This window comes from Homo sapiens, chromosome 5, assembly GCF_000001405.40.
Source record: "Homo sapiens chromosome 5, GRCh38.p14 Primary Assembly".
Classification (NCBI taxonomy): domain Eukaryota; kingdom Metazoa; phylum Chordata; class Mammalia; order Primates; family Hominidae; genus Homo; species Homo sapiens.
In genome coordinates, this window is record NC_000005.10 from 60909665 (window position 1) to 60924021 (window position 14357).

At 35.0% G+C, this 14357-nt stretch overlaps 1 protein-coding gene and 1 long non-coding RNA gene across 5 annotated transcripts in view; one reads left to right on the plus strand and one right to left on the minus strand.

Moving 5' to 3' along the window:
* Nucleotides 1-14357, minus strand: part of ERCC8 (ERCC excision repair 8, CSA ubiquitin ligase complex subunit) — a 78617-nt gene that overhangs the window by 43211 nt on the left and 21049 nt on the right. For all 4 annotated transcript variants that reach the window (NM_001290285.2, NM_000082.4, NM_001007233.3 and 1 more), the window contains 2 exons: nt 12390-12491; nt 8601-8724 (listed from right to left, as the gene is read on the minus strand). In NM_001290285.2, the coding sequence (NP_001277214.1) occupies nt 8601-8622 (22 nt within the window). In that variant the 5' untranslated portion in view covers nt 8623-8724; nt 12390-12491. The remainder of the gene's footprint in view (nt 1-8600; nt 8725-12389; nt 12492-14357) is intronic.
* ERCC8-AS1 (ERCC8 antisense RNA 1) lies at nt 7525-9909 on the plus strand. The gene is made up of 3 exons (NR_183288.1): nt 7525-7903; nt 8631-8763; nt 9713-9909. It is a non-coding gene; the product is annotated as an ERCC8 antisense RNA 1 (long non-coding RNA).

Genomic DNA, 14357 nt, shown 5'->3' on the forward strand with positions numbered 1-14357 from the left:
GTATATAGGCCGGGCATGGTGGCTCACGCCTGTAATCCCAACACTTTGAGAGGCCGAGGTGGGTGGATCAACGGAGGTCAGGAGTTCCAGACCAGCCTGGCCAACATGGCGAAACCCTGTCTCTACTAAAAATACAAAAATTAGCCAGGCATGGTGACACACGCCTGTAGTCCCAGATACTCGGGAGGCTGAGGCAGGAGAATCACTTGAACTCAGGACGGGGAGGTTGCAGTGAGCTGAGATTGCGCCACTGGCCACTGCACTCCAGCATGGGTGACAGAGCGAGACTCCGTCTAGAAAAAAAAAAAAATAATAATAATAAAAGAATACAGTATGTATTACATATAACATACAAAGTTGTGTTAATTGACTGTTTATGTAATCCAGAAGGCTACCAATTAACACTAGGCTATTAGTAGTTAAGCTTTTGGGGTAATCAAAAATTATACATAGATTTTCAACTGTGATGGGGGTCAGCTTCCCTAACCTCCACACTATTCAAGGGTTACCTGTATTATCATAAATCAAATTAATGTCATCAACGGGTACATTTCTTGATTATCCAGTTCCACTGTATGGTGTTTTTCTTTTTTACTTACCAATATCACATTGCCTTCACTAGTATAACTTTATAGCAAGTCTTGATATCTGATAGTGAAGTCTTCCAACTTCACTCTTTTGTTTCAAGAGTGCCCTGCTGTTTTGCATTTCCATATGAACATTAGAATTAGCTAGTCAATTTTCAAAAAAAGAAATCTTCTAAGAGTCTGATAGAAAATGCATTGATTCTATAGATCAGTTTGGGTAGAACTGATATTTTTATCACACTGAACCTTTTAATTCTTGAACATGGAATACCCCACATTTATTTAGGTCTTAATTTCTCTCAATAATGTTCTAAAGTTCTCTGTGTATTCGGAATAGTCTTGTATATTTTTCATTAAATATATTACTAGGTATATGATGATTTTTGATGCTATGGTAAACAATGTTGGTTTTGAAATTTCATTTTATAATCGCTTGTGTTTGGAATTCAGAAATATAATTTACCTTGTATCCAGCAAATTTGCTAAATTTACTTATATTAATTCTAATAATTTGGCTATAGATTCTTTTGAATTTTCTACGTTCATAATCATGTCTTCTGTGAATGACAGTTTAAATGCTTCCTGTCCAGTTCCTATCCCTTTTATTTCCTTTGCTTTATTGCACTGACTAGGACATTCAGTACAATGTTGAACAGAGGAAATAATGAGGATAATGCAAAGGGAAAGCTTTCAACATTTTACCACCAAATAAAATGGTTGCTTTAGTTTTTTAAAAAAATAGATACTTTGTATCAAATTAAGGAATTTCTCTTCTATTCCTAGTATGCAGAGAATTTTATTTTTATTTTTATATATTTTTTAATTATACTTTTAAGTTCTAGGGTACATGTGACAACGTGCAGGTTTGTTACATAGGTATATATGTGCCATGTTGGTTTGCTGCACCCATTAACTCATCATTTACATTAGGTATTTCTCCTAATGCTATCCCTCCCCCTACTTCTCCACATTCTCCCCCTATTTCTCCACATACTCTCCAGCATCTGTTGTGTCCTGACTTTTTAATAATCGCCATCCTAACTGGTGTGAGATGGTATCACACTGTGGTTTTGATTTGCATTTCTCTGATGACGAGTGATGACGAGATTTTTTCATGTGTCTGTTGGCTGCATAAATGTCTTCTTTGAGAAGTGTCTCTTCATATGCTTTGCCTACTTTTTGATGGGTTTTTTTTTTTCTTGTAAATTTGTTTAAGTTCTTTGTAGACTCTGGATATTAGCCCTTTGTCAGATGGGTAGATTGCAAAAATTTTCTCCCATTCTGTAGGTTGCATGTTCACTTAATGGTAGTTTCTTTTGCTGTGCAGAAGCTCTTTAGTTTAATTAGATCCCACTTGTCAATTTTGACTTTTGTTGCCATTGCTTTTGGTGTTTTAGACATGAAGTCCTTGCCCATACCTATGTCCTGAATGGTACTGCCTAGGTTTTCTTCTGGGGTTTTTATGGTTTTAGGTCTAACATTTAAGTCTTTAATCCATCTTGAATTAATTTTTGTATAAGGTGTTAAGGAAGGGATCCAGTTTCAGCTTTCTACATATGGCTAGCCAGTTTTCCCAGCACCATTTATTAAATAGGGAATCCTTTCCCCATTTCTTGTTTTTGTCAGGTTTGTCAAAGATTGGATGGTTGTAGATGTGTGGTGTTATTTCTGAGGCCTCTGTTCTGTTCCATAGGTCTATATCTCTGTTTTGGTACCAGTACCATGCTGTTTTGTTTACTGTAGCCTGGTAGTACAGTTTGAAGTCAGGTAGCGTGATGCCTCCAGCTTTGTTCTTTTGGCTTAGGATTGTCTTGGTAATGCGGGCTCTTTTTTGGTTTCATATGAACTTTAAAGTAGTTTTTTCCAATTCTGTGAAGAAAGTCATTGGTAGCTTAATGGGGATGGTATTCAATCTATAAATTACCTTGGGCAGTATGGCCATTTTCACGATATTGATTCTTCCTATCCATAAGCATGGAATGTTCTTCCATTTGTTTGTGTCCTCTTTTATTTCATTGAGCAGTGGTTTGTAGATCTCCTTGAAGAGGTCCTTCACATCCCTTGTAAGTTGGACTTCTAGGTATTTCATTCTCTTTGTAGCAATTGAGAATGTAGTTTACTCATGATTTGGGTCTCTGTTTGTCTGTTATTGGTATATAGGAATGCTTGTGATTTTTGCATGTTGATTTTGTATCCTGAGACTTTGCTGAAGTTGCTTATCAGCTTAAAGAGATTTTGGGCTCAGACGATGGGGTTTTCTAGATATAGAATCATGTCATCTGCAAACAGGGAGAACTTGACTTCCTCTTTTCCTAATTGAATACCCTTTATCTCTTTCTCTTGCCTGATTGCCCTGGCCAGAACTTCCAACGCTATGTTAAATAGGAGTGGTGAGAGAGGGCATCCCTGTCTTGTGCCAGTTTTCAAAGGGAATGCTTCCAGTTTTTGCCCATTCAGTATGATATTGGCTGTGGGTTTGTCATAAATAGCCCTTATTATTTTGAGATACATTCTATCAATACCTAGTTTATTGAGAGTTTTTGGCATGAAGGGCTGTTGCATTTTGTCAAAGGCCTTTTCTGCATCTATTGAGATAATCATGCGGTTTTTGTCATTGGTTCTGTTTATGTGATGGATTACGTGTATTGATTTGCCTATATTGAACCAGCCTTGCATCCCAGGGATGAAGCCCACTTGATCATGGTGGATAAGCTTTTTGATGTGCTGTTGGATTCAGTCTGCCAGTATTTTATTGAGGATTTTCGGATCGATGTTCATTTGGGATATTGGTGTAAATTTCTCTTTTTTTGTTGTGTCTCTGCCAGGCTTTGTTATCAGGATGATGCTGGCCTCATAAAATGAGTTAGGGAGGATTCCTTCTTTTTCTATTGATTGGAATAGTTTCAGAAAGAATGGTACCAGCTCCTCTTTGTACCTCTGGTAGAATTCGGTTGTGAATCCGTCTGGTCCTGGACTTTTTTTGGTTGGTAGGCTATTAATTATTGCCTCTATTTCAGAACCTGTTATTGGTCTATTCAGAGATTCAACTTCTTCCTGGTTTAGTCTTGGGAGGGTGTGTGTGTCGAGGAATTTATCCATTTCTTCTAGATTTTCTAGCTGATTTGCATAGAGGTGTTTATTGTATTCTCTGATGGTAGTTTGTATTTCTGTGGGATTGGTGGTGATATTCCCTTTATCATTTTTTATTGCGTCTATTTGATTCTCCTCTCTTTTCTTCTTCATTAGTCTTGCTAGCAGTCTATCAGTTTTGTGGACCTTTTCAAAAAACCTGCTCCTGGATTCATTGATTTTTTGAAGGGTTTTTGGTGACTCTACTTCCTTCAGTTCTACTCTGATCTTAGTTATTTCTTGGCTTCTGCTAACTTTTGAATTTGTTTGCTCTTGCTTCTCTAGTTCTTTTAATTGGGATGTTAGGGTGTCGATTTTAGATCTTTCCTGCTTTCTCTTCTGGGCATTTAGTGCTATAAATTTCCCTCTATATACTGCTTTAAATGTGTCCCAGAGATTCTGGTACATTGTGTCATTGTTCTCATTGGTTTCAAAGAACATCTTTATTTCTGCCTTCATTTCGTTATGTACCCAGTAGTTATTCAGGAGCAGGTTGTTCAGTTCCCACGCAGTTGTGTGGTTTTGAGTTAGTTTCTTAATCCTGAGTTCTAATTTGATTTCACTGTGGTCTGAGAGAGTTTGTTGTGATTTGTGTTCTTTTACATTTGCTGAGGAGTGCTTTACTTCCAACTATGTGGTCAATTCTGGAATAAGTGCAATGTGGTGCTGGGAAGAATGTATATTCTGTTGATTTGGGGTGGAGAGTTCTGTAGATGTCTATTAGGTCTGCTTAGTTCAGAGCTGACTTCAAGTCCTGGATATCCTTGTTAACCTTCAGTCTCATTGATCTGTCTAATGTTGAGAGTGGGGTGTTAAAGTCTCCCATTATTATTGTGTGGGAGTCTAAGTCTCCTTGTAGGTCTGTATGGACTTGCTTATGAATCTGGGTGCTCCTCTATTGGGTGCATATATATTTAGGATAGGTAGCTCTTCTTGTTGTGATCCCTTTACCATTATGTAATGGCCTTCTTTGTCTCTTTTGATCTTTGTTGGTTTAAAGTCTGTTTTATCAGAGACCAGGATTGCAACCCCTGCTTTTTTTTTGCTTTCCATTTGCTTGGTAGATCTTCCTCCATACTTTTATTTTGAGCCTATGTGTGTCAGTATGCAGAGAATTTTTAAAAATGAGGATGGGCACAGTGGCTCATGCTTGTAATCCCAACACTTTCAGAGGCCAAGGTGGGAGGATCATTTGAGGCCAGATTTTGACACCAGCCTGGGCAAGACAGAGAGACACTGCCTCTACAAAAAGTTAAAAAATTAGCCGGAGATGGTGGTGCACACCTGTAGCCTTCACTACTTTGGAGCCTGAGCTGAGAATCCCTTGAGCCCGGAGTTTGAGGTTATAGTGAGTTATAATTGCGCCACTGCACTCTAGCTTGGGGAACAGGGCAAGACTCTTGTCTCTTAAAAAAAAAAAAAAAAAAAAGGATATTGACTTTTATTTCAAAATGTTCGTATCTATTGAGATGACTAATATGTAGTTTTCCCCCTTCATTCTATTAACATGATGAATTACATTAGTTGATTTATAGATGTTAAAACAACCTTTTTTGTCCACTCATGATATATTATTCTTTTTGTATGTTGCTAGATTCTACATATTAATAGTTGATTTAGGATTTTTGTTATTTATATTTGTAAGAGACACTGGCTTGTAATTTTCCATATAATGTCCTTGTAAATTTTGAAATCATGGATATGCTGGCCCCATAAAAAAAGTTTACAAAAGTTCCTTTTTTTCCTCTTGAAGCATTTGTATAAGATTGGTATTATCTCTTTTTTAAGTGTTTAGAATAACTTACTCGTAAAGGCACCTAGGCCTGGAGATGTCAGTCTTCTTCTATTGTCTGTTTTTACTCCTAAGCTCATTTGTTGGTAAGCTTGGAAGTTTCTGTTTTGAGTGCTAGAAATTATATAGAAAAAATTGGGAGAGATTCTGCGTTATGTTATCCTCCTCTAGAGAAGATCCAATCTCTCTTTTGCAGGTAGGAGAGGGAAGATCATATCAATTCAAACATAAAGCTTGTCTGCTATTGTAGAGTTCTGTAATAATTTTCTACTGATGCAGTAAGGAAAGTACTTACTGTACTTAGTAAGTACCACATACTTAGTAATTTATAACACAAATTTATTATCTGTAATAAATCTGTTCTACAAGTTAAAATTCTCACATAGGTCTCAATGGATTATAATCAAGGTGTTGACAGGCTGCATTCCTTTTTGGAGGCTCTAGGAGAGAATACTTTCTCCATCTTCCAGAGACCACCCACATTTCTTGGCTTGTGATCCCCTTAATCCATCTTCAAAGCTAGCAATTTTACATTTCTCTGGCCATTCTCCCAGTCAAATTTACCCCGTCTCCTTCTGCCTCCCACTTCCATTTTTTAAGATTCTTATGATTACATTGGGCCCACTAGGATAATTCAGTATTATCTCCCTGTCTTGAGGTCAGGTGATTGGCAACCTTAATTCCCCTTCGTATGTTCTAGAGATTAGTACATAGACATCTGGGAGCGGGACATGATGCTGCCTACCACAGGCTCCATCTACCTCCTATTTGTACCCATTATTAGAGTATTCCCCTCTAGGTGCCCTAAGAGCCTGGGTGTTTTCCTAGGCCCCCTTCTACTTAGCAAGTACTGCACTGCAATTCTTCTCTCCAGTACCATGTGACTGGGGAAAATTGCTGTTCTTCAAATGTCTTCTGCTTCATTTCTTAAGTCTATGGTCTCGCATAGCTTGGTCAGCAAATATCTCAAAGAAAAAACCAGTGCAAGATGTTAGGCTGATTTCTCTGCATCTCTCTTCTTTCTGTGATCTTGACCCTTTAATTTCTGGCTGTCTTGGCAGCCCACATTCCAATTTCTGTCTCTCTAGCTTTATGAAATTGACTAAAGTCCCACTCATTTATCTGCCTCTTAGAAGCTATCCAATGCCTGTCTTCTCAGTCTCTTGCCTTACTTTAATGACAAATGTCCAAAGAGAAAAAGAGTGTGTGGAAAGTTGAATGCATTTCTGTAAGTGTTCCCCTCTCTAGGATCTGATTCTCAATTCCTAGATTTCTTGGCAGCTTTATAAAACCCTCAACTAGATGCCTGTTTATGCTTTATCTAGCTTTTCTCAATGGAGGTGCTGGTTTGGCTACAAGATATTCCATTATAGTCAGAAGTGAAAGGTCATGACATTCATTTAATTGTTAAAATATACTCTCATTTTCAATGACATGTATTTTAAATAAATATACTTTATTATAAAAATAAATCTGAAATAATAGGACTATTCTAATGTAGCAAGGTCAAAAAAACACATCTATTTAGTTTGAATTATTAGAAGTATATTAAATTTACATTTATATACACAACACTGTTTTGTTTTGCTCACTAGAATCATAATATACTTCATGATTTTATTACTTTTTAGTATGTGGCCAGTTACATACATTGTTAGTCATCCCTAAAGCATTTACTCAGCAGTTACTGTACATAGCACTGAATTTAGTAATGTATAAGACATAGTACTTTCTTTGGGGAAGTAACAATCTAGAACAACAAATAAGACAAACAAGTATGAAAATGATATTATAAAGTAGTATGAGAATGTATTGAAATAGGAATACAGAAAATAGTGCTATAAAGTAAAATAATGGTTAATATTTACTCCAGAAGCTGAAATCACTAAACTGCATGATAGAACTAAAAGGGACCTTAGACACCATCTAGTCTGACACTTTAATTTTATAGCTGAAGAGACCTTTGCTAACAAATTAAATGACTTATCTAAAGCAACAAATCTCATAAGTGGCAGAATGGAACTAGAACTCTGGCATCTACAGTCTTGGCTCAATGTAATTGTAAAAAAAGATGTGACCTTAGGAGAAGGGAAGAGTTGCAAGGGAAAGGGACTTGAGGTAGGGAATACAACAGATTCAAAACACGATCAGTTTAGTTGCAGCAAAGCATTTGTGTTGAAAACTGGTAGAACATAGGATTGAAGGAACAAGGGTTGATGTCATGGAGAACTTGGAATGCCAGGCTGAGTTTAGACAATGGGAATCCCTAGAGGGTTTGGGTAGTGACATGATGAAACTGCTTTATAATAAGATTAATTCTGGGGTAGAACTTAGTGTAGAAAATGTAGAAGGTAAGGCAGTGATTTTAGTAGTCCAGATGTGCAGTAAAGGCAAGGTAAATAGAAAAGAGAGGTATGAGAGAGTTTGAAGAAAGGATTGCTAAGATTTTATGACTAAATTTAATGAGATGTGATCATGTTCAGTTGGGACCATGTTAAGTTTGAAGGGATGACACTACATTTAAGTATAGAGGTACTGTAGAAAAGTAGAGACATATCAGAGTAGAGCTCAGAGAAAAGATTAGCACTCGGAATGTAAATTTGACCAAATGTCATACAAACTATTATCCATTGCTTGTCTTTACTAAGCTACAGTATTAACAGCTTTCTCCTTCAAGTTTTTAGATCAATCAAAGATAAATCCAATTTTCTACTTTAGATTACTAGATCATAGTATTTTTCACAAAGGGATAATAATATTAGCTAACAGTTTTTGAGCATTTACTATATGCTATGTACTGTACTAGGTACTTTACATATTTTGGCTCATTTAATCCTCACAACCATACTATAATCATTATTCCCATTTACAGATGAGAAAGACACACAGAGGTTTGGACATTTGCCCAATGTCATACAGCTGTCAGCAGCACAGCCAGGATATGAACTCAAGTAGTCTAGCTCTTCTTAACCACTGTACTGCTTTCACATCTAACATATATGACATCTCAGCAAATAATCATACTAAAATGGTTTAGGATTAAATTCTCCTTTATCCTACAAAGCAATCTGCAAATGTTTTAATGTACTTACTTGTAATGTATTTGTATCCCATACTTTCAGAGTTTTATCAAATGAGCTTGATGTGAACATGCCAGTGTCATGAGGATACCACTGTACAGTCTCCACACTGTATCTGTGAACATCAGGATGATCTCTACAAAACAGCAATCAAAATTTACATTAACTGACTTATGTGAGTTTCAAAACTGGTACTATATTAAGAACAAGTAGTAGTCTCAGGTAGGATGATATGAATGGCCAAACCGAGATCACATGCCTGTGTCCAAGCTGTGTAGAAGGCGAGAAAGAATGTCCAGGCATCTCTAGATTCAGGCTCCCACTGTGTGATGTAGAGACATACCTCCTACTAAGGGTCACAATGTGAAAGATTCTCTGTTTTTGTACTATATACAGCCTGGAGGCATCAGCCAACTACACTGGTCTTCTTTCATCTTGAAAGAGTGATTTGGTCTTACTGGAAGAGACAGCTGTTTTGGTTTTGGATTTGCTTTTCCAAAGTCTCATTCTATTAGCACTACTATTCTTAGAATTATTGAATGCCTCACACACCTCCATGGTATTCTATACAATATTGCTTCTTATCAAGGAACTTATTCTATGACCAAAGAATGCAACTGGTGTAGGCCCATGAGATTCACATCTTATGTAACCCACCATCCATAAAAACATAACATGTTGAAGACTCTATGACGTCAGCTACAATACACCACCTTGTGAGGGTGGTATGCTGTCCTGAAGGATGCAGTATATGCTCTGAACCAGTGACCAACATAGTGTGTTACCTAACTGGATCTTGATTCAAACAAACTGGCTTTTAAGAGAGATTTATGAGACGAAGAGGGAAATTTGAACACAGACTGGATATTTAATATAGATAATTTTTGTGTATTTAAGATAGTGGTACTGTAGTTATGCTCATAAAGTCTTTATCTTTTAGAGATATAAATAATTATGAATAAACGATAGGTTGTTCGAGATTTGCTTCAACATAATTATGAGGGTGGATGGGTGGGAGGTAGAGATGAAACAAGATTGGTTATGATGGTTGGTGAAGCTGGGTGATTGATACACAGGTCATTATACAACTCTCCAATCTTGTATATGTTTGAAATTTCCCATAGAAAACAAAAGTTAACAGAAGACTTCTGCAACCCTATGCAGATACAACCGTGATGCTTTTGGATTCCTTAAGATGAAGGTTTGGGACCTTAAAACATTTGTGGTGCTATCTGAAGGAATGAGAACACAAAGAAGGAAAGTCTTAAGTGCCAGCTCTGGCATTAAAACAGCTGCAAAAATACAAGAACTATAGTGCCTACTCATATTTCCTTTTTTTCTCTGTAAATATTCATATATTTTAACTAATTTTCTCTTTCCTCTCTTACCTTTATTATTTTTATAGGTTAACTATATCATTGAGTCCACAAATTGTATAATACTGATATAGGATAAATTAAACTAGTGGAAAAATGAACATGACCTTGAAATGGAGCCAGGTGTGGTAACTAAATCAACTTAGGATCATCACCCTTTGGGGAAGAGGATGATCACCTTTTTGGCTGTATAGTGAAGATTTGCATTAGGTTAGGCTGGAACATTTTTTTAAAAAACAGTAATTATGGGAAGAAAGGTGTATACGCATGCTGGACAGCCAAATGGGTGGATTGTAGGGAACATGTGCCTTTTTTTCTTGGCTGATGAGCATTCAAACTCCTATTTAGAGGAAATGCCCTTTGTTTTACTGAAAATAAGAGCTCTACCTCTTCTTACAGAAAGCAAGGGACTCTAGACATTCTCTTTTCCTAGGAGAGTTAGCCATTATTCAAAGCTGAGGAGTTGAGAGTCTGCGTTGGTGACATATAGCAAAACCCAAACTAATGTTCCTGTGGTGTGACCCTGACTGTGTTCTCTATCCTGACTTCTTTTGTTTTCTGCTCATTTTCTAAGTCTGATTCTCCCATCTTCCTGACAGTTATGTGAGATACTAAATATTCTTCCAATAAATTTCGCTTAAGATAAGCAGATTGATTTCCTTTTGCTCCTAAGAATATTGACTTCTACAGAGATTTTTCCAGTGATACTACTTTTAAATGAAACAAATTTTTAATGTAGTGATAACAAATAAAAGCTCACTTATATTTTAAGTTTAAATTTTAAAATAGGATATTTTATTATGTTACTATATATGTTCTGTTATTTTCATTTATATTTAATAAGAATTTTGGTAGAGGAAAGGAATCTTTTTAGTGCTCAAGGACAAACACATTAAGTATACTAATAGTAAGCATCAGAAAATAGTCTAAGTCACATTAACTTAATAATAGTCTTTATTGAAATTATTTTTAAATTGGATTGTAAATCCTTCAGATGTATAAAATGTTATTATAACTCATTTTGTAAAGATGCATACTATATGTCCATTTTCAAATTCAAAGTCACACTTTTAAATATAGAATCTGAATCCAAGAATAAAATCACAGTAAAACAAGACTGACACATTACGCATTTACTTATGTCACAAACCAAAACAAAGCAAATCACAGTTCCTCACGGAATATTATGTAGCACGTAGAATAGGTGAAAATACTATTTTGCTATGTAACAAAATAAATTTAATGTTAAAATGTTAGCTAGGATAAAAATAAGATAAAAATGAATTTAATTAATTAACATGACTTTTTTTGTTATTGAGGGTGGGAAGAGAGTATATATGGCCTAAGTCTCTAAGTTCTAGAGTATTTGAGGCGATATCTTGTTTTGTACTAAGTATTCCTGTAAGTACATTGCTTTTCACTTATGCAGTGGTTTCGGTTTTCAACACGCTTTTAAAAAGATAGTATTTCATTTAATTCTCATAGAAACGTATAAGAACCACAGGGCATGTATACTGATTTCTAAAATAAAATAATGTGAAGCTGAGATTAACTGATTTTCCCAAATTTGTATTTCTAATGCGAAACACCAGAGCCAACAAACAATAGCAAATCTCCTCCGAAATATTCCATAGCATATATTCTAATGCTTTGGGAAGAGCTGTAATAGATAGTTGATGTTAATGTTTACAAAGTTTTCCCTCTTGAAAGCATTTTCTCAGTGCCCATTCTCCCTGTTAATTCAAAGGTCTGCTCATTATCAGATTGAATGTAGGTGAAGAGAAAGGATTAAATGACCACAATGGAAAAATTACAATGTCACAAAACATTTTATTAGAGACTTAAAAAAAATTATCACAAGATTGGTAAGCCAGTAGAGAACAGTCAGAGAAGACAAGTATTACAGATGTATGTTTTTAAGTTAGACATCTTTGAGTAAGTAGAGAGACAAGACAGGGGTGAGTGGGTATATGTGTATGTGTGTGTTTGGTGAGGGAATACCAATATGTTTAGTATATCTAAACCTTTTTCTTCCATTAGTATCAGGTGAAAATCTAATTTGTGTTTATAATTAGCTGAAGGACTATAAATGAATCTTACACTAAGTGGTACTAAAAACTCTAATTAGTTACTGAGATGTGCTATGTAGGTAAAGAAAAAGAAGGACATAATCACAAGTTTTTTAAAAATAAAATACTAATGAAAATTGATACTGAAGTTGCTTTGGGGAAGACACATGTTAAAAAACTATACCTGAATGTCAGTTACTATTTTCAAGAAAGTGTCAAGGAACAGCCATGCAAATGTGTTATGTGAACCATTCGCTTGACCCATTCACTTGACTGCAATTTTCATGTTTTGCATTCGATGCAAAAAATACTCAACTATTTACAAATTCATAAATTTTTACATTTTAAATACATACCTGCCAATGGAACACACTGCTTTACATGTGTAATAAGATTGTCTGCTGGAGTTCTCAAGGTCATAAAGTACAATCACACCATCTGAACCACCTGATAACATGCTGATAATAAAAAAGTTCACATTAATTTATCATTTTATTTATTATTTAGTCCATTTATTTATGATTGCAAATTTCTAAAAACTGATTTGCAAACACTCAAATGTATTAAGGATACATTAATTTATAATAAGTTAATCCTCAATAACACAGACTTCATAAACTAAAATTTCTTAATATTTAATACAAGAATGAATATAAAAAAATTCATTCTGTGATCATTTCAAGTTTACTTCCATAACTTCAAAAAGAAAGGGTGACAGAAACAAGACGGCAAAAGAGATTTCTTAAGAAAGTAAAATATTACAAAGTTATTTTAAATGTCCTAATTATGACTATGCTAAATAAAAAAGGAATTAGACAAACCAACTATTACTGACACTTGCTATTTGGCTCTGGGCAAGTTATACCACCTGTCTAAGACTCAACATTTGTAAAGGAGGGGGACATTTTTACCTGAATCACAGTGTTGATAATAAAAGTGCAAAATTCTTTTTATAGTACCTGGCAAAAAATAGGGGCTCAATAAATGTTAGATTCCTTCCTTCTCTTATGAATGCATTCACTCAATTCATTCAACTTTAAGTTCCTACAATGTTAGACACTCTGCTAAAACAACTGTCAACAAGGCAGGCATGGTTCCTGTCTTCGCAGAGTTTACAATCCAATAGGGAAAACAAGTAGTATGCATAATCACACAAATTATTAGTTATGATTGGGATCACTGTGACAATAACTTATTTTTATTCTAGTTTGGAAATTCAGGAGCAGTTTCCCTGATTGCAATATTTAAGCTGGTATGTGAAGGATGATTCAAAGTTAGCCAGAAAGGTGTGAAAGTAACAATCCAAGCCCATTCTAGGAACCAAAAGAAGGGATTTGTTGCTGGAGCAGTGTGGAAGGGAAAGAGTGGTGAGAGATGAGAGGCAGGAGCCAAACCACTGAAGCCTTACTTTTGGGAGTAAAAGAGGGTGCTAAAAAATTAGCAGTATCTTTTTTTGGAAACAATTATTGACTCACTCTCAAGCTGGTCTATTATATTGGTAGAACCTACAAAATTATTCTATTCAAAAACTTTGCAAAAATATTTCTAAAAAGTAAAAGTAACAAGCATATATACTAAAGCTATATACATTGATTGAACTTAATAATTTGTAAAATCATTCTTGGTACTTCATATACTTTAATCAGTTTCTTAACCATATTTGTCTCTAATACTGTTACTGTGTTTTTTTAAATGGGATTTTTCAATATGATCTTATTAGTTTTTTTGGCATAAAATTGTCTAAAAATCATCTTTAAATCTGGAGTTGTTGACACCTTTAACTGACTTCCCTAAAAGCCATAATGTTTAATTTAGGAAATAACAATAGTTGATGAGGTATATGATAAGTTCAGAGAAAATTCTGCAAAATGGAGGATATTCTTGAAATGTGCAAATATTTCAGGTTATTTTCACTGTTTTTACCTTAATTCAAAGTACCTTTCTTTAGTATACTTATTTTTTTACAAGACAAAATTCTCCTTGAACAAATTCTTTATGTCTCTTTTGGAAGTTACACCAAATTTAAATATTATAAAATCTTAGACATTGTGAATGTTATTCCATTACAAAATATACATTTATCCCAATTACAAATATACATTTATCCCAATCAAAAATAGGGGAACCATCAAAAATTCTTCACAGAGATCCAAACAATGCAATCTCTCTACATCATCACTCTTTCCTTTTCACCTCAAAGTAACTCATTATCATGATTTTTATCGTAGTCACTGTCTTTCTCTTCTGTATAGTTCATAGTTCATCACCTTAGAGTGTACACATGAATATTAGCTTTGCTTTTTAAAAAAATTTTAATGTCTTTT